Raw genomic sequence first — 19,157 nt, forward strand, 5'->3', positions numbered from 1 at the left:
TGCAGGGCTATTGTGCAGAATAGGTGGCACAGGGCACGTGAAGCAATGGGCCTGCCCGGCCCTGGCCTCAGTAATACATTTCAACTGTTTACAAGGATCAGCCCTCACCCAGTGCCTACCTGGCTAAAACCAGTGAAGAGCCACATGAGCCCAGAGTGAAGCAAGAATCAGATGAAGAAAAGTTAAGGCACTGCAGATGGTGACATCCTGGGCAACAGATTCAACTGAGAACCAAACAGATTTAATCATTTATTGCAGAAGAAGCAGAGGACTGGACACAATCCCAATCAGAAGATGAAGAGAGTCCCTTGGTAGTGAAGGCCCAAGAAAGGCATGGGGGCAGAGGGGCTTGTAGCTGGCCTTGGGGAAACATCCTGGGTAAGTGTTGTCTTTGCATTTCAGGCAATGACCCAACGAAACGGGACCAAGAAGGAGGCCACTGAGAGAGCTCCTGACTGGACTCCTTGCATCGAAGCATCACACCTTGAGGACAACAGGGAGAGGAAATGGGGTTGGGACTGTAGTGACAGACAAAGCATTTCTTGACTTGGAAAGGGAGCCCAGGGAAGGAGAGGGAGGAGACGGGTGAGTTGGGAAGCCTTCTGCTCACAGAGCCAACCACTTGTCCATCATCTGGAGGCCTTTTTGGTGGCACAGCTGCTCCCCGAGGTTTTGGCAAGGGGATCCTTGAGCTCACTGCCACAGCTGCCTTTGGTCTTGACGTCTGCAGCTGCAGTTTTGTAGCTATAACTGCTTGAGGCGCCAAAGCCCATGCTGAAGCCAGCCCCTCCTGCCCCAGCATTGGTGCTGCTGATGACGGCTGGAATGGATGAGAGAAGACCTCAGCCCCCGTCAGCTCTAGCCCCACGTCAGAGCCCCTTCTTGGGCATCTCGGGCCACCTCCTTTACTCTCGCCCGCAGTGGCTTCCTGCTGAGATGGATTCTCTCTGTTGTGTGTTTCAGTCTACTAAGAGATTTTTATCAGCACTGATCATACAGCTTCAGTTTTCATGCACTTAGCCTCACACATTTTACCTTTTCCTATTAGTGTGTGAATTTCCCCCATGGGCAAGACCAAATGAAGAGAGGCACTTCCCAGGGCCCATCTGGTGCTGCTGGTCTGCTGATGAGGAAAGGGGCCACTGAGGGCCCTGTCTCTCAGCACCACAGCATCTCCACACAGGCTCTCCAGCTTTTACAGCTGAGGACATGCTCTCATTCACTCATTCAACTATTCCATCTCATTCATTCATTCCATCACTCAACCCTTCAGGCCCCTCAATTCCCCTTAACTGCAATCTGAGGCCTTTGCTTTGGTCAACAGAAAAATAATGTCACAATTAAGCATCAATCGTTGGATGATACACTCATGAGTATCATTTGATCTTTCTATAGGTTGTACTTTTGTCTCTCATGATAGTCTTCTCCATCCACTGCTTCCCCTTAGTTACTACAGCCAGCTCCTTCCTTTTTCCCTTAAGTCTCCCCTGAGCCCCCTCTGTCATTCTGATTTCTCTTTTGTGTCATGAATTAAAGGGACTCGGACTTCTGGTAAGGTGACCAAGGGCAGAACTGAGATCTGCAGATACTTACAGATGCTCACAGAATTTGGATATTCGCCAGACATCCTGAAGAAGGAGAAGAAAAACAGGTAAATCCCCCATAAATAATCACCCCAACCACCTGGAAGTCACCTCTGTGAATAAGCCTCTCCACGCAGAATGTGCCTTCCCAAACCCATCCTAGCCTCCTTTCTTCCCACACATCCCAGTGCGACCCCCACCAAGAAATAGAAAACTGAGATGAAAATCTGCTGCAAGGAGTCAGCCCTCCATCAAGACCCTTTAGAACTGCTTGCTGTGTGGGATCATTAGGCCTCCACTTCCCTCTAGTCATGCCACTGTTCTTAGACGATTAAGAAGAATGAGCTTACCTCCCCATTGGAGCCCCAGGCTTTGCTGGAGCGACCTTGAACTTGGACAGCCCTTAGAGGCCATCTTGCTCCTCCCCCCACCCACAAAAATGCACCATGAACGGTCGGGGATGCTGTTTCTCAAACATTGCCGGCATTAATACCTCCTCTCCCACAGCCTTTGGGATTTTTTACAACTTGGTCTTTCTTGCTGTCTAACTTTGGCCTTCCTAATCATGTGACAAGCCCATTTGCTGTATGGTTTTACTTCAGTAGGACCTAAACAGGACCAAACTGTTTGCCTTGGAGCTTCCTACCAAAGCAGAGAGAAAACTGGTCCCGACACAAGGGTATCCGGCCCCTCACCTGCACTCCTCGCTCTCCAGCAGCTTGCGGTAGGTGGCGATCTCCATATCCAGGGCCAGCTTCAGGCTCACGAGCTCCTGGTACTCACGCAGCATCCGTGCCAGCTCCTCCTTGGCCTGGTGCAGGGCGCCCTCCAGCTCATCCAGCTTGGCCCGGGCATCTTTCAGGGCGCAGTCCCCCCGCTGTTCAGCGTCGGCGATGGCCGTCTCCAGATCGGCACACTGAGGGGCAAACAGATCCAGCACTTAAGAGTCAGAGCCCAGTTCTGAGATCTTGCTTGGACAACCTCCCCTTGTTTTGTCCTGACTGATGGCAACTGCTTGGAGATCCTCCTGGTTTATCCAACTTTGGCCATCCCTAGAGGTGAGTCTGTCCTTCCCCTAACTCCAGGCATGGTTCACCCTGGCTCATGCCTCTGCATCTGAAAGTAGAAAACCTTCACCTGGGAGGGAGGAGGGGAAGGCACGGAGAAAGAGGGCGGCCTGGGCACATGGCCCCTGCCCTCTCCCTCCTGGCCTGAAATATCAGCTGTAAGATTCTTATGTCAACTCTGAAAAAAAGTCTCTGAGCAGCTAGATTTCATTCAGCTCTGCAGTGTACAGGTTGTTTTAGGAGATCCCATAAATCATGGGGAAAACATGAGGGCTAATAAAGTTCCTATTAATAAATTGTCCTATAAACTTGCCACACTTAGAGTTTGGTCCCCAAATCCCAAAGAGAACTATGCTAAATGGCAACAGGCTTAGAAGATACCTTTACTTAACTGGGAACGGAAAACCAAACACCGCATGTTCTCACTTATAAGTGGGAGCTGAACAATGAGAACACATGGACACAGGGAGGGGAACAATGCACACTGGAGCCTGTTGGCAGGTGGAGGGAGATAGAACTTTAGGAAAAATAGCTAAAAAAAATAGCTAATGCATGCTGTGCTCAAGATGCATGGTTGATAGGTGATGGGTTGATAGGTGCAGCAAACCACCATGGCACACGTTTACCTATGTAACAAACCTGCACATCCCGTACATGTACCCTAGAACTTAAAACCAAAACTAAAATTAAAAATAAATAAATAAATAAAATAGACTGGGCACAGTGGCTCATGCCTGTAATCCCAGCACTTTGGGAGGCCAAGGCAGGTGGATCACCTGAGGTCAGGAGTTCAAGACCAGCTGGCCAACATGATGAAACCTCGTCTCTACTAAAAACACAAAAATTAGCCGGGAGTGATGGCACGCAGCTGCCTGTGGTCCCAGCTACTCGAGAGGCTGAGGCAGGAGAGTCACTTGAACCCAGGAGACAGAGGTTGCAGTGAGCCCAGATTGTGCCACAGAACTCCAGCCTGGGTGACAGAGGGAGAATCCATCTCAAATATATATATATATATTAATTAATTAATTAATTAAAGAAGATAGCTTTGCATAACTGCAGCTGGGGCTGTGTGCTTGCACTTATGTGAAAGCCCCCAGGGGGCTTCCTGAGCCCTTCAGTCTGGTATATGTTCCCTCAGCTAAGGTTTTGGTGGGAGCTGAGGTTTTCTTTCTGGGGTATGCCCATCTGTGGAGCCACATTTGCTTCACACCAAGGAAAGCAGCTGATCCAAGGCCAAATGGGCTCTAGAATATTGTCCAGCTGCCACCATCCTCCTCTGCTGGGCAGGCCCACAGCAGTGCCAATGCCCTCGTATTTTGGATGAGTGGCTCACAGCCTCAAGGAGATGCCTAGGACCCAGCCTTCTAACCACAGAAAACCCTGCCCCACCCTTGGGACTGTAGAAGTTTTAATCATTCATGGAGTGGCCACACACACTGTCACCTGAACTCATCAAACTGTCTTCTGTTCTTTTTTACTGACCAAGATCCCACACAGTGAACCTGGGGCAGAGGGACACCAAAAGCTTGGGTCTTGTGAACATGGCCCGAGTTGAGAGGACTTGAAATTTTAGCATCCTTTGAAACAAATGTCACATGAATGCTGAGGACACCAAATGCCAAGGAACTCTGCATGTGACATGGTGGCCTTCTTTGATGGAGGAGGCCAGAAGGGCAGGAAGCACCTTAGCTGAGGGCCCTCAAAAGGAGCCGCAATGGGGACTCAGCATTGCGAGGGATCCCCATTTGTTCCCCGCAGAGGGTATCTTCCCTGACCACCAAAGCAAGTCAGTTTCTGGTAATAACTTCGTCCAACCATAAACACATAGCATTTCATTAGTTAAACACTGTAGTAGAATACTGAGGGTAGCTTCAAACATCTGCGTTTTTTCTGCACTTATATAGCTCTTGATTAAACAAAAACAACTTAAGTTATTTAATGCTGGTCTTTCTTCTTCCCACTACCATGAGCACAGAGGAGTAGTGCGTGTGTGTGTGTCTGTGTGTGTGTGTGTACATGTGTAAGCATGCACCATGCGTGGTGAGAGATGGGGTGCAGGGGAGGGTAAGGAGATGGGACAACTTGACTTGCCTGGGAGCTGAGAGCCTTAAACCCTTGCACTGCTTTCACAAACTTGAGGACTCATGGGTTTGCTTGCTTTAGAGCCACAGATGTGGTTGCACGGGTACTACCTCCCAAAGAGGGGGACCTCGGTGCAGTGTCCTCCCCACAGCACAGCACTAGTGCAGGAAGGCCCCACGCTAGTGCAGGGCCCTGAGCCCGATCTGGGTTGTGGGGGCTGTGCCTCCTCCATTTTGTTCTAAAATCTCCTGCTGGATTCTCTCTCCTCCCACAAGGTATCATCATGGGAAACCTTCAAATGGCTCCCTTTTACCTCCTGCGTTAGGTCTAAACCCCAAGGCTTACCTATTCCTACCCAGTGGTGTACCCTGCTCCCTGCCACCCCTGCTGAGCAGCGAGCTGCCTGCCCCAGATAGGCAAGCCCACCTGCACACGTGCTGTGCACATCACTACCTAGGCCCATTGCTCCTGCGGGCTCCTTCACCTGCTCCTTCCCCTCTCCTGGTGTAATCCTACCTCCTGCAAAGCTTCCCTGGGGTCCTCATTCACCTCTCACCCCTCTGGGCTCCTGTAACACTTACCTACAGTGTGTAGGCTGCTTTATCCCTCCATATCTGTTCAGATCATCCTCTCCTGGTAAATTAGAGGAGGCCCTAAGGAGGGCACTGTGTTTTACCCTTTCTTCATATTCTGTCTGGCCCAGATTGTGACTCAATAAATACTGTTAGTGGATTAATTTCATAGAACCCACCTGCTTCTTCACATTCCCTATCTCTGAGCGGATCCTCTGGATCAGGCGGTTGAGCTCAGAGATTTCAGCCTTGGTGAGCTTGAGGTCATCCCCATGCTGGCCTGCTGTGACCTGCAGCTCCTGGATCTGAGGTTGGGTGACAAGAGAAGAGGAACACAAGGATCCTACTGAACTAGGGCAGGTCCCTTTTCTTCTGGACAGAAAGGATCCTGCCCTAGTTCAACAAGATCCTCAGGTTCTCAAACATGAGAGCCTTGGCAGAGTGTGAATTTCCTATCCTCATTTTGCCAAAGTGGAAACATGAAGATAAGACAATATATGTGAATTACCCATAGAAACTGTGTCAGAATCCTATCAGGGTTGTAGCTGGTGTGGCCTCAGCCAAGGGCCGTGATAGGAGAAGGGCTAAGCCCCATATATGTCCGCAAAACAAGCCAAGACTGTAGTTAATCTCCCTTACCCCTGGGGTGGCATTTCCGCAAGGCCCAACTTCAAGACAAAGGAGGTCTTGACTGAGCCCAAATACACACACACACACAAACACACGCACACACACGTACACATGCACACATACTGAGAGGGTGCTAGCTGTGGCCAGTGGGACTCAGCACACCTGGCACCAGCTCACCTTGGTCTGGTACAGGGTCTCAGCCTCGGCCTTGCTCTTTAGGGCAATCTCCTCGTACTGGGCACGGACCTCGGCAATGATGCTGTCCAGGTCCAGATCCCGGTTGTTGTCCATTGACAGGACGATGGACGTGTCGCTGATGTGGGACTGGATCTGAGTGATCTCCTGGGGACGGTTGGGGGAGGGGAGCTAGTTAAGGGGTACTCATGAGGAACCAGTTCTCTTGGTCCTCCCTGGGCAAATTCCTCACTGTCCCTCTGCCTTTCCTCAGCGTTTGAACTCTGCCTCAGCACCAGTGCCTGGCAGGCACGTGAAGAAGTGCCTTAGGCTTTCAGCCCCAAACGCTGAGACTCCTCTCTCCATTGCACACTCAGGAGCACTCCTGCACCCTTCTACATTCTCATCCTCAGAAACCAGCCACCGCCACCCTCCACCCATAGGACCAAGTCTGAACTCTTTACCTAGCATGTGAAGTCCCCTAGGGAGTCACTAGCACCAGTCCCTTCCCCAGGCCTCTGCGCCCTTCTTCATTCCTCATGCTTTAGCACAGGACAGGCTCCTGGACCTTCTATTTTTCTGCCCCCCTCAGCACCCACTGAAATCGTCCTCTTTCTCCTCTCTCTCCAAGAACCTTCACTGATGGCCCAGGCAGAACCCACCATTCCTTCCTCTGCTCTCTGAAAGCTCAGCTACGTGGTGTTTTCCTGCCAAGCTGTGAACTCCTGGAGGGCAAGAATCACTTCTTCTCTTTCACGGACTCCTCAAAACCTAGCTCATTGTTCAGCACCCAGTAGGGCCTTGGTGAATGTCAGGGGCACCAGGTTGAAAGCTTTCTCCCTCCCAATTCTTGGTCCACACCACCTTCCAGCCAGGGGCCAGAAACCTCTTGTTAAAGGAGCAGATCTCACAAGAGAGGTCAGCCAAGTCCTTACCCCTTCATAAAGGCACTTGAAGAATTTAATCTCATCTGTCAAGGAGTCCACCTTGGCCTGGAGCTCAACCTTATTCATGTAAGCAGCATCCACGTCCTGGGAGCACATGATAGTCAAGCCGCCCTGAGAGGGCCTCCCCTGCCCATCCCTCCCTCCCTGCCACAGGAAGCCTTGCTCTTTCCTCTCCCTTCACCCTGTGCTTCATGGGGGGCTCCCTGAGAGTCCCCTTCAGTCCCTGAGAGTAAACCAACTAACGTGCAGTGCAATGGCTACACCAGTAGTGCAGTAAAATGCCCAGATTTTAGACTGGCAAATTCTAGAAACAGCATGCATCCCAGGCAAGGGACTTGGAGGGAGGGGCTGGGAAGTTAGAGTGCCAGTCACCCCTGCCCAAGGGACTGAGTGACCTACAGGGCCCCTTTCCTCACCCTACAAGCATCATTGTGCCAGGTGGTCAGGTCTAGGCTTCTTCCAGCCCACCTGGCACCCCTCTTACCTTCTTGAGCACCACAAACTCATTCTCAGCAGCTGTGCGTCTGTTAATCTCCACCTCATACCTGCATGGGGCAAGACAATGAGGTAATTCAGTTCTGCAAACACTCACTGAACAGTTAGTGACCACCTCTGTGCTGAGAGCTGCAGGGTGGGGGTCTTCAAACTGGGATTCCCATACCCCTGGGGCACACATAACCTTGCTTAAGAGGATGCAGGCAAGGACATAGTTAAAGGAATCAATTTCCAGCTCCTTTGTGCCTGTGCATTCTGTCTTAAAACTACCTGCCTCAGAGAGCACCTGTGGTTGAGATGTCATGCAGACTCTACTGTCCCTCTCCCTGTCACAATTAGCCCCTCCCACATTATAGCAGAGGTGAAAAGACACTCCCTTCTGGCACATGGCATCTTAATACTGTGCAATGGCTCAGGGTGCAAAAACCTCCTAGGCACCAAACAAAAGCACCATTCTCACTTTCAAACTGTATGTTATACCTATTTCTTATACATATTTCTGTTCCAGGTGAAGCAGAAACAGAAGCAAGGTCTAAGACACAGAAATGTGGTTAGGACTGGGATGTTCTTAATACAGACATATTGTTGATTGGGGAGGTAAGAGTACTAACCATTTTATTTAAAGAGCTTACCTCTTCCATCCCTTATTATTCTCAAAGAATGCATTACAGGACATTTGTGAGAGTATGGTAACGAAATAGAGCATTGGTAAGAAATAATTAATGCTAAATGGATAAGCAAAATGTGGTGTATACATACAATGGGATATCATTCAGACTTAGAAAGAAAAAAAATTCTACAATATGCTACGACATGGATGAACCTTGAGGACCTTTTGCTAAGTGAAAGAAGCCAATCACAAAAAAGACAAATATTCCAAAAGACAAATGATCTCATTCATGTGAGATACTTAGAGTAGTCTAAGTCAGAGACAGAAAGTAGAATGGTGGGAGCCAGGGGCTAGGAAGAGGGGAGGGAAGAAATGAGGAATTAGTGTTAAGTGGGTATACAGTTCCCATTTCACTAGATGGAAAGCGTGTTCTGGAGGTGGACAGTGGTGATGGTTGCACAACATTATGAATGTATTTGATACCACTGAACCGTCCACTGAAAAATGGTTAAGATGGTAAATTTTGTTATATGTATTTTACCATAGTAAAACTTTGAAAAAAAGAATTAAGGCTAGATAGTAGCTTTTTTATTCATGTACTTAACATAAACAATCCTTTTCAGCTCTTCGCTCATTCCTAAGGCATGTCCCTGGAAGCCCCCTCCTCAAAAAGCACTGTTGAGTGTGGCAATTCCTCAAGGATCTAGAACTAGAAATACCATTTGACCCAGCCATCCCATTACCGGGTATATACTCAAAGGATTATAAATCATGCTACTATAAAGACACATGCACACATATGTTTTTTGTGGCACTATTCAGAATAGCAAAGACTTGGAATCAACCCAAATGTCCATCAGTGATAGACTGGATTAAGAAAATGCGGCACATCTACACCATGGAATACTATGCAGCCATAAAAAAGGATGAGTTCATATCCTTTGTAGGGACATGGATGAAGCTGGAAACCATCATTCTGAGCAACTATTGCAAGGACAGAAAACCAAACACCGCATGTTCTCACTCACAGGTAGGAATTGAACAATGAGAACACTTGGACACAGGAAGGGGAACACCACACACCGAGGCCTGTTGTGGGGTGGGGGGAGGGATAGCATTGGGAGAAACACCCAGTATAAATGATGAGTTAATGGGTGCAGCAAACCAACACAGCACATGTATACATATGTAGCAAACCTGCACGTTGTGCAAATGTACCCTAGAACTTAAAGTATAATAATTTAAAAAAAAAGCACTGTTGAATGGCTGAGCAGTGCAGGGTAGTGAAGGGAGCTATTTCAAATGTGACTGGGATGTTTTCTGAGGCTGCAGATCTTTCTAGTTATGCTATATAAAACACACAGAAAGCAGTTTATATGATTTATCCCAGATTCTGTGTCTTATTCAAAAGATAACTGAAACCTTTTAATCAAATTATGTCATGAAACAGCTATTTCTATTACAGTCAATCTTTATTTTATATTATCTTACAAAAAGATTAATAATGTCTACCCCCTCTTAATAAAAATAAGACATATGGTAGTTGCCGGACCAATTAATTTTTAGTAGTTTATATCTATTTCCTAAAATACATAGAAAACTTTTGACCAAGTGGGCTATCAAAATCAATGACATTAGCTGTAAATAATTTTACATTATTTACTTCTAGAGGCCAAACACCAGAGTTCAATACACACATTAAAAAGAAAAATAAGTTTTATAGCATTATTAACTTAAAAATAACTTATTATTTAAAAATATATTACAATGAATAATTAAAAGTTAAATCATTAAAAAGTACATATTGATTTCTCTTGTTTTATAACATAAATAGTTATATTAGTTATATTAAATCTAAATCATTTTAATCTTGAATGCTTTCAATAACCTATTATACAAGACATATTTCTTAGTTTATTCTGAGTGGATTTTATAACAGTCCCTAAAGTACAAATTCTTACTTTTACTTGAATTTAGAAATGAAGTCAGGATTTTTCTGATGAAAAGCAACTCATGTCTCTGATTTGAATATGAAAATTGGTTTTTCCAATGAAGCTAGAGGGCAGATATTTTCTATATAAATTGAATGAGGTAAATCTGCAGCTCCAGAGTTTCAAAAATGTGCCAGTGTGTGTATTCGTGTACAAAAACATGAGGCAGAATCACATTATTTTTTAAGGATAAAGAATTGGCATAGGTGTATTGAGTACTAACAATGTTTTATGTTTCCAGTTCTTTCTGATCCATTGGATTAAACGTGGTGCTCCTAAAGGACAGAATAAGTTGTATAAGCATGGCCATTTGATCAGTCTTGGTAAAGCCTTATTGAAAAATTTTCCAGAAATTTGGAAGATAATGACTTTACTGACTAGGAAACAAGTTCTTTTTGCAAGTCAGATGGTTTTTAATTTTTGCTTTCAAAAAAAGAAGGATTTGAATTGTCAGCTGACAGATGGTTAAACATGATCTTTAATGGTGAGTCATTATGTGATTTTGACATGTAATCATTCACCTAAGAAAATATGTGTTGAGTGTGGGGTACTTTGTAGGCACAAAACAAAACAAATATCCCTGCCCTTAAGAAGCAGAGAGAGACAAATAACAAACACAACAAATAAGTTGTGTCAATCATGCAGCATGTTAGAAACAGTAAGCACTATGGAAGAAAGAAAAAGCAGAAAAACTGGAAAGGCATTCCGAGAACTAAATAACACTGGGCTTGCAAAACTCCTTCCATTAAAATCTACTTCTATAATTAAAGTTTCCCAGCACTCACCTAAGAATGGAAAACACACAGGACTAGAATCCTATCTCAGCTCAATAAGAATCAATATTCATACATGGATAACTAAGCCACTTAGAAAAAAATCTGCCCCATTCAACTCATTAGGAAAAGTATTTTCAATTTTTTTTCATTTTTTATGTTTAATACTTATTTAACAAAATTAGCAATACATTTCGTTGTTTGGATAACTCAACCCAAAATAAGTCTTTTGACATTTAAAAACTTATGATCACAAAAGGTAAACTTTCTTTTTTTCTTTCTTTTTTTTTTTTTAGACAGAATCTTGCTCTGTCACCCAGACTGGAGTGCGGTGGCTTGATCTCAGCTCACTGCAACCTCTGCCTCCCAGGTTCAAGACATTCTAATGCCTCAGCCTCTGAGTAGCTGGGAACACAGACGCACGCCACCATGCCCGGCTAATTTTTTATATTTTTTGTAGAGACAGGGTTTCGCCATGTTGGCCAGCTGGCCTCGAACTCTTGAGCTCAAATGATCCACGTGCCTCAGCCTCCCGAAGTGCTGGGATTACAGGCCACAAGAAGTAAACTTTCTAAGGTTTCGAGATACATGCATATTTTGTGATAGGGTGATCAATAAAAGACTTAGAGGCATAAAAATATATTATAACAAAATTATGTGGGGAAAGTGGGATGAAAATTGGAGTCCAAACAGGAAAAGGATCAAGGTAAAAGTTATGATTTTTAAAGCAGAGCCCATTCATTGGCTTTTTAGATGAAGGGTGATGGGCGCTAACCTGCTGCAGCACCTGGATGCAATTGGGTACATCTCAATGAGTGATGTGGCTATTACAATTTTAAATGGGAACACACATAATACGTTTGAAATTACACCCTTTGAAACTACTTACACTTATGATTAAAAGGTTGTAGTTTCAATTTTTTAACTGTGAAATGTTTTAATTGTGAAGAGTTTTTTAAAATCATTTTAGAGAGCCTATGAGAAAAGCTTCAGCGTATACAATGATGCTTAAGACATATACACTGTGCATCTTCTAGAAACTCACAGTTTAACAGGAAGGCAAATGCACTGAAAATTCTAATTCAACAATGACATATGATTAGCATTTCTTATGATATATCATAAGAGAGATGCAAAAACCTGGCATGAGGACCCACAGGTGGAAGAGATGGGTGATAAAATCAGTTTTAAAATACTCCTAGTAAATGCAGCTAATATTTATTGTACCCCTTACTACATGCTAAACACTGTGCTAAATTCTTAGCACAAATTATTTCATTTAATCCCCACGACAGCCCTATGAAGTAGATTCTATTATTATTCCAATTTTATAGATGAGGCAAAAGACATGAAAATACTTGGCCAAGGTCAAAATGCTAGTTACTAGTGAAGCTAGGATTCAAATCCAAGCCTTCTGACATAGGGAAAACAATGCCTTACATTTGTGTAGCACTTGGATTCTTTTCAAAGCTGCTAATACACTACTGTCTGGCTGGCATTATCCTCTCAATAGCTCTTTTAGGTAGCAAGGCAAGTATCAGTATTTAGTTTTCATAAATACTAAAACTAAAGTTCACAGAGGACACAGAGACTCATCTGTGGTTGCTCAACTAGTTCATGGTGATTCAGGAGCACAAAGCCACTCCAGTCTGAAAGGCCCAGAGATAGCACTGCCCCTGGACGCCTCCATGTGGGACTTCAGGACTGTGTCTGGCAGCCCCCTGTTCTTTCCAGACCCTGCTTGCATCTCTAGTTGGGCTCCAGTTCCCATCTTAATTCCACCTATCTCAGTTCACACCATATTTGTTTCTTCTTGTTGGTGGCTATCTGAAACTGTTCTTTAAGCCTGTCCTCACAATCTGTGTGCTCTCTGAGGTCAGGGACCGTGTCTCCTCCTTCCTTAGGTTCTCCATGCAGGGCTTGGGCCAGGGTTCTGCTTTGAAGGAATTTCAGAATAGGGATGGGCAGGTAGATTGAATATGGAGCAAGAGAAAGAACTCAGCTCTGACGACCTCCAGCCACTTGAATTGTGGAAGAAGCCACCTGTCCCTAGAAATCCTGGCATCTGGAAGCAAACTTCCAAAATATCAGGTCACACTGAGCCTTGATTTATTACTGTCTCATATTCAGCTCAACTTGGAGGAGGACACAACCTCTGGTTCCATCTCATTCTCAATCATCCTCAAACATTCTCAATTATTCTCTTTAAAGCCAGGATTCAGCAGCACAGCCATGATTCAACATGGAATAAGTTTTTTAAATTCTTTTTTTTAGATTTAAAATTTGCCCTGGAATTGGTGGGGTGTCTTACATTCTGGGAACTGCCATGGAAAACTTCACTCAGGAGGAACTACAAAGGCATTTGGGTTGTCCATCTGGTTTTGATACAACTCTCTTTCCCCCATTCCTTCATTTTCAGTGCTAGAAATTGAGCACACATTTCCTCGACAGTTTGGAGAACCGGTGTAGGTAGATCTATTCTTTTCCTAGTTCCATTCTGTCTGGATGTTCCTCCCTCCCCCGGTATCAGCAAGGATCTCAGAAGCAAAAATGCCATCTCCAAACGAAAACCTCATTTGAAATCAGATCCTCCAGGGCCATATTCCCTGCCACTCACTCACCTCTTCTTGTAGTCCTCCACCAAATCCTGCATGTTCCTCAGCTCCGAATCCAGCCTCACCCCGTCCCCAGACAGCATCTCCAGCTGCTTCTGCAGGTTGCTGATGTAGCCCTCATAAATGGGCTCCAGGTTCTTCCTGCAGTTGTTCAAGTCCAGCTGCTGTAGGAGGTTCCACTTGGTCTCTAGCACCTGATTCTGCTGCTCCAGGAACCGCACCTGGAACCCAAAGGCAGTCATCGCCCAGAGTCCCCATGTTGTTGCCTCTCAAGAGTGGGGAAAGGGCCCCAAAAACCAGAGGCAGCCATCCTGGGGGACTGGGGGTAGGAGAAAACAAGGCTTATCCCGGGGTGGATTCAGCCGAGGGACATGCTCACCTGGATCTCCAAGACAAGAAATAGGACCCGGTCTATATGGAATCAGGAAGAGGGCTTAAGCAATGGTACCATCTGCCTCTGCCTCAGTGAGTTTTCATGAGACAGAGGTAGCTTCTCATGCTATAAATGCTGGTGTTTTCTGAGTAAAGAGAAATGGGGAGCAGGGGAGAAACAGGGACTGGGGAGTGACATTGGAAAGCACACTGGCATTTAGAGCGTTCCTCCTGTTGTGTAGCCTAAATTGCACTTGGTTTGTTCATTTCTTTGTTGTTCACAGCAAGTTACCACATCTTCACAAAGTTCCTTCATACTTGACCAGGGTGCACATTTTTAGACTCAATAACTCCAAGCCCTCTGCCACACACCAGCATTCCTCTTCTCACCTATCTTTCAGCTTGAGGGGCAGAAGGAAACATGCTAGGGAACAACAGACATAAAAGAGCAAGAGAATGCTCTGGCCTCTGGAATAGCTGCTGTGTTTCTTCCATGCAGACCTGTGCCCTCCCGCCACCTCAATTCCTCTTCCCTAGCATAGTGGTGACACTCGGTCCACCACCAACTGTCCTGTCCAAGGTGAGCTCATTTCTTAGCCTCCCATGTCTTAATATCCTCATCTGCAAGGCAGAACAACAACAGAATCATGGGTTGTGATTGTAAATGAGAATCACTTGGGACGGCACCATAAATGTCAGCTATTGTTATCAGGCTGTCCCCTTATCACTCACCGTCTAGACCTTCCATCCAGGTGGAGACAAGAGAAGTCCATTCCCTGTCTCCTCTCCACTCACTGGGGTCATTGCCTCAGAAGCTCCAGAGACAACTTCCCTATTACCCCAATTTCTGGATGCCCCACCCTCAGCACACACCTGTAACTTTACATGCACTCTTTCCAAGTGCCTCCTCAGCCTCACCCTTCAGTTTTCTGGCCCTTTTCTCTCACCTCCTCTATCATCTTCCTGGCTACACACTTACCCCACTCCTCAAGCACCAAGCACCATGTCCTGCAACGTCTCTTGGCCTCTGTTCCTAATGCCCTGCCCTGAATGTGGGTCCCATCTCCTCTTCTGATATTGGGAGCTCTCAAAGTGCCCATTCCTTGGACATCCTGACCCCTCCCTTCTCACAGTCTTGTCTCATGCAAGAAAGAAATGAAGGTCCTTGATACGTTTTGGCTGTGTCCCCACCCAAATCTCAACTTGAATTAAGTCTCCCAGAATTCCCACGTGTTGTGGGAGGGACCCAGGGGGGAGGTAAATGAATCATAGGGGCCGGTCTTTCTCCTGCTATTCTCCTAATAGTGAATAAGTATCACGAGATCTGATGCGTTTATCAGGGGTTTCCGTTTTTGCTTCTGCCTCATTTTTCTCTGGCCGCCGCCATATAAGACGTGACTTTGGCCTCCCGTTATGATTCTGAGACCTCCCCAGCCATGGAGAACTGTAAGTCCAATGAAACCTCTTTTTTTTTTTCCCAGTCTCGGGTATGTCTTTATCAGCAGCATGAAAATGGGCTAATACATCCTGTTTATTGGAAGTATGTGCCAGGCACTGTTCTGAGCACTTCGTAAACATCCCAATTAAGCCTCATCGCAACCCACTGGAGTAAGACCCATTATTGTGCCCATTTTACAAATGGAAAAGGGAGGCTCGGAGAGGTTATGACCCGCCCACGCTCCCACACAGCTCGCCAGTGGCAGAGCCAGCACCACTGTGCACATGCGCCCAACGCAGGGACAGGCCAATGCCCGAGGACTCACCTTGTCGATGAAGGAGGCGAACTTGTTGTTTAGCGCCTTGATCTGCTCCCGCTCCTGGGCGCGCACCCTCTGGATCTCGGGGTCCATCTCCACGTTGAGCGGGGCCAGGAGGCTCTTGTTGACGGTGACCTGAGGGATGCCCCCGGGTGGGCACACGGAGGGACACTTGGGCCCCAGCCCGGCGCTGCCGAAGGCGGTGCCCACGAAGCCGCCCAGGCGGCCGCCGCCCCGCCGTGCAGCAGCGCTGAGCGCCAGGCTTCGGCTGCCCCCAAGGCAGGAGAGGCTCTTGCTGCCAAAGGAGGCCGAGCCCTTGACCCGGGCCCGGAATGAGGCGGAGCTGCTGCCGATCCCGCCAGAGAGGACCGCGGAGCAACCGCTGAAGCCCAGGCGCTCCCCGCGGGGGAAATGGGTCAGTTGGCGGCTCATGGCTCGCAAGTACCGGTGCTGGCCGCGCGGGAGGCAGAAGGGGCGCAAACAGCCGCTGCGTTCTCGGCCCAGCTCGCCCCTTAAATAGCCTGGCTGGCTGGAGTCAGCCTAATTTGTATGTCGACAACACCTTTTAGATCCCTTGAGGCCTCTTGGGTTCTTCATGTAGGAAATTACCATGCACTCACCGAGATTTTTGTCTGTTCCACCGTGAACTCCCCATGAATCCCTGTAAAGTGACCCAGAACCCAGCATTTACTTGGCTCACCTCCTGCATTATCATGGCTTAGCGACCTTATCTCCACCTGCTGGCCTCCAATTACTGGGGTTATCACTCCCAAGATCACCCCTGGAAACTTCCAGTGGGGCTGACCCTCTGGGTGTGTGTCTGGGGAGACGGAGGTGTGTGAAGCAGAAGTCCAGGCTGCTTCTGCTTCAGAAGGCCATGAATAGAGTCAAGACTATCGCAGAAAATCATCCTTAGCCTGTCCTCCTCCTGCCTCCCAGGCTTCTGGATGAGGACAGCTCTGTCCCTTGTGCAAGAAGGAAGTTCAGAAGGAGGAGATTTTGGCCCCGTCTGCAGAGACCTCTCAGTCTGTTGGAGAAGGCAGGACACAGAGACCTCTGGTCACAAGTGTTGAGGGTTGACTTTGGACCAGAGCGAAAAGATTTCTCCACTAAGCATTTCTGGACTAAGAATGGGGACCATGCTATCTGGGAGGGAGGGAAGAAGGCCTGGGGAGGTGGTACAGGAAGACTCAGGCATGGTTTAGCAGATGGTGTTTCCTAAGGCTTTCGGTTGTTTTCATTTTTGTTTTCTTTTAATAGCAGAAGAGGCTTATTTATCCCATCCAGCAAACCTCTGCTCAGGTCATTTGCCACCCAGTCATTTCTGATTCAGCATCAAAATGTGATCAGTTATTAGGAAGAGGTCAAGACTCTTCAGATCTAAAACCAAGAACTAGATTCTAGAACTTCATTCCCTTTAAGCTACAGAGGCTCCTTCTTCCACCTAACCCGATTTCCTTTTCTCAAACTTAAGCTGCCTTCAAGTCTCCTCCTCTCTTAGCAACAGCTCTCCTGTTCCTCTGGCATGCAGGTGGGATTATTTCATTGCTCTTATTTCTTAAGCTGCCAGAGTCCTGGGTGTGTGTTCCATTTCCTCTATCAGATTGACAGGGCCCCCTGGATTCACCCTTCCCTCCTCTGCTCCCCCAGTGCTCAGCCCAGGCCTTGGCCAAAGGGACATTTAGGATGATTGTGAAACAGCAGAGTGCTTAGGGCAAGGCTTGTTACTGCACCTTCAGTGATACCCTGAAGGCTGGGTTCCCCTTGGGGACCTCATGGGTTGGTTAAATGGTACCTGGGGGTAATTGGCTGACATAGCCTCCACTGGGCCAATGACAGGACATAATAACAGCCGAAGCGTTTACTCCACGGGGAACAAAGTTGTGAGGGCATTGTTAAGCGCTGGAGATGGCACCGATCACAGATGAACAGATAACGGCATCTGGGTGTCCTAGGTGGGAGAGAGGGTGGGCTCTCAGTGCTGCCTCAGAGGAGGGGCTGTAGTCCCTTCCCTCTGAAGAGGAGAAGGGCAGTGTCAGTGTGGCTGGGTGACAGCAGACCCTTCAAGAAGATCAAGGTTATGTTTTTTATTATTACATGAGATTTTCCCTCTACCCCGTAATTTTAGCCAGTTTTTTTTCCACAAGCACAAAAATGAATTTATTTATTCCAGCCATTGAGAATAGAAAAGCAAGGAATGGATTACACTGAAAGAGGAGAATTTTTACGTAGGATTGACTGACAAAGGGTGTCTTTGAAATAATTTTTTTTTTCTTCCTAGAAATTTTCTAAGGAGTTGAGATATCCTGGGACCAGGGCTCTTCTGCCCAGGGTTAGGGAACTGTAAGATGACCTTTTCTCATCTTCCTATGAGGGGTTGACTGGCTGGATGAATAAGGAATTCCTCAACCCCTGAATCACCTTTATTACAGATCATGAGGAGACACAAGTGACACATGCAGATTTCAAAGGCCTCAGATGTGTGGGGATGTCAGCAGATCAAAGGGGGTTGAGGCCTGGGAGGAGGGGTTCTCATTGCCTCTGCCTCTGACAGCAGCTTACGGTGTCACCTCAGGCCTTGGTGACCACCTCTGTCATTAGTTCTTGGGTTAAAGCAACCCCTGGATTAGTAAACCAGACAAGGAACATTGCCCTTAGAAATCAGATCTTTACTACAAAAGACGGATGAAACCACTCTAGGCTGAGAATTGAAAATGCATTGCTGGTTAAACTGGGTCTCCTTGCCCTGTAACACTACTTCTTGGGAAGTTAATAGGTATCATGGGAAAAAAAGATATGGGAATGGATTCTGTGCTTGGTTTAAAAAAAAATGAAGCAGGCATCTTATTGCAGGACTTTCTAGGCCCATTAACATGCTTAGTGCTAGAGCAATTTTAGGGCAGTGAACTATTCTGTACAGTACTGTAATGATGACTACATGTCATTATACATTTGTCCAAACCCACAGACTTCCCAGTGAACACCAGTGTAAACCAGGGACTTGAGGTGATAATGCTGCATAAGTGTAAGTTCATCAGTTGTAACAAATGTACCCCTATGGTGGGAGATGTTGATAAGGAAGGAGGCTATGCATGTGTGGGGGTAAGGGGTAAATGGGAAACCCAAGTACCTTCCACTCTATTTTGCCGTAAACCTAAAACTGCTCTAATGAATAGTAAACAAATAAATGGATATATAGATGGGTGGGTGGGTAGATGGATGAATGGATGGACAGATGGATGGTATTAAACCATAATAACAGAAAAATGCATGATACTTTCTGTTGCACAAAAGGGTAATACAAAACTTAATGTTTTTCACACCTGATGGCTGAGAGGTGAACTTGTGAATGGGGCAGTGTCAGTGGGTTTTTTTTCTATTTTTTAATATTTCTGAATTTTCTAATATGAGCATATAATGCTTTTATAAATAAGTTATATTTTTCAAAAAAAAAAAAAACTAAAGATGAAAGGAGAGGGAAGTTGATTC

General features: G+C 46.4%; 1 protein-coding gene across 9 annotated transcripts, besides 1 other annotated feature; it reads right to left on the bottom strand.

Annotated features, from left to right (window-relative positions):
- On the bottom strand, positions 237-17,601 carry KRT72 (keratin 72). Of its 9 annotated transcripts, none has more exons than XM_047428323.1 (12): positions 17,464-17,601; positions 15,675-15,803; positions 13,919-13,950; positions 13,546-13,760; positions 7,540-7,600; positions 7,044-7,139; positions 6,112-6,276; positions 5,484-5,609; positions 2,279-2,499; positions 1,594-1,628; positions 611-820; positions 237-483 (listed from the first exon to the last, which is right to left on the bottom strand). In XM_047428323.1, exons 1-11 carry the CDS (start codon positions 17,510-17,512, stop codon positions 630-632), a joined length of 1,320 nt encoding a protein of 439 aa, XP_047284279.1. In that variant the 5' UTR covers positions 17,513-17,601; the 3' UTR covers positions 237-483; positions 611-629. The 9 variants fall into 9 exon arrangements, with proteins under 9 accessions (XP_047284279.1, XP_047284278.1, XP_047284277.1 ...); XM_047428322.1 differs by lacking the exon at positions 13,919-13,950 and adding an exon at positions 16,289-16,329; XM_047428321.1 differs by lacking the exon at positions 17,464-17,601 and adding an exon at positions 16,289-16,443.
- Positions 4,060-4,229: an enhancer, noted in NCBI's record as "experimental_29110 CRE fragment used in MPRA reporter constructs". NCBI's record gives its function as "activates a minimal promoter by MPRAs in K562 erythroleukemia cells, with activity observed for the non-introgressed 12:52983281 variant allele {active_cell/tissue: K562}" and the evidence as "EXISTENCE:reporter gene assay evidence [ECO:0000049][PMID:34662402]".

This window comes from Homo sapiens, chromosome 12, assembly GCF_000001405.40.
Source record: "Homo sapiens chromosome 12, GRCh38.p14 Primary Assembly".
Taxonomy (NCBI): domain Eukaryota; kingdom Metazoa; phylum Chordata; class Mammalia; order Primates; family Hominidae; genus Homo; species Homo sapiens.

Excerpts from the sequence above, each read along its gene's own strand:
- KRT72 (NM_001146225.2), bottom strand. The coding sequence starts at position 16,100 with ATGAGCCGCCAACTGACCCATTTCCCCCGCGGGGAGCGCCTGGGCTTC. Across the intron at positions 7,601-13,545 it reads GTGGAGGACTACAAGAAGAG|GTATGAGGTGGAGATTAACA; the intron begins GTGAGTGAGTGG and ends TGCCCCATGCAG. Across the intron at positions 2,500-5,483 it reads TAGGGAATGTGAAGAAGCAG|TGTGCCGATCTGGAGACGGC; the intron begins GTGGGTTCTATG and ends TTTGCCCCTCAG.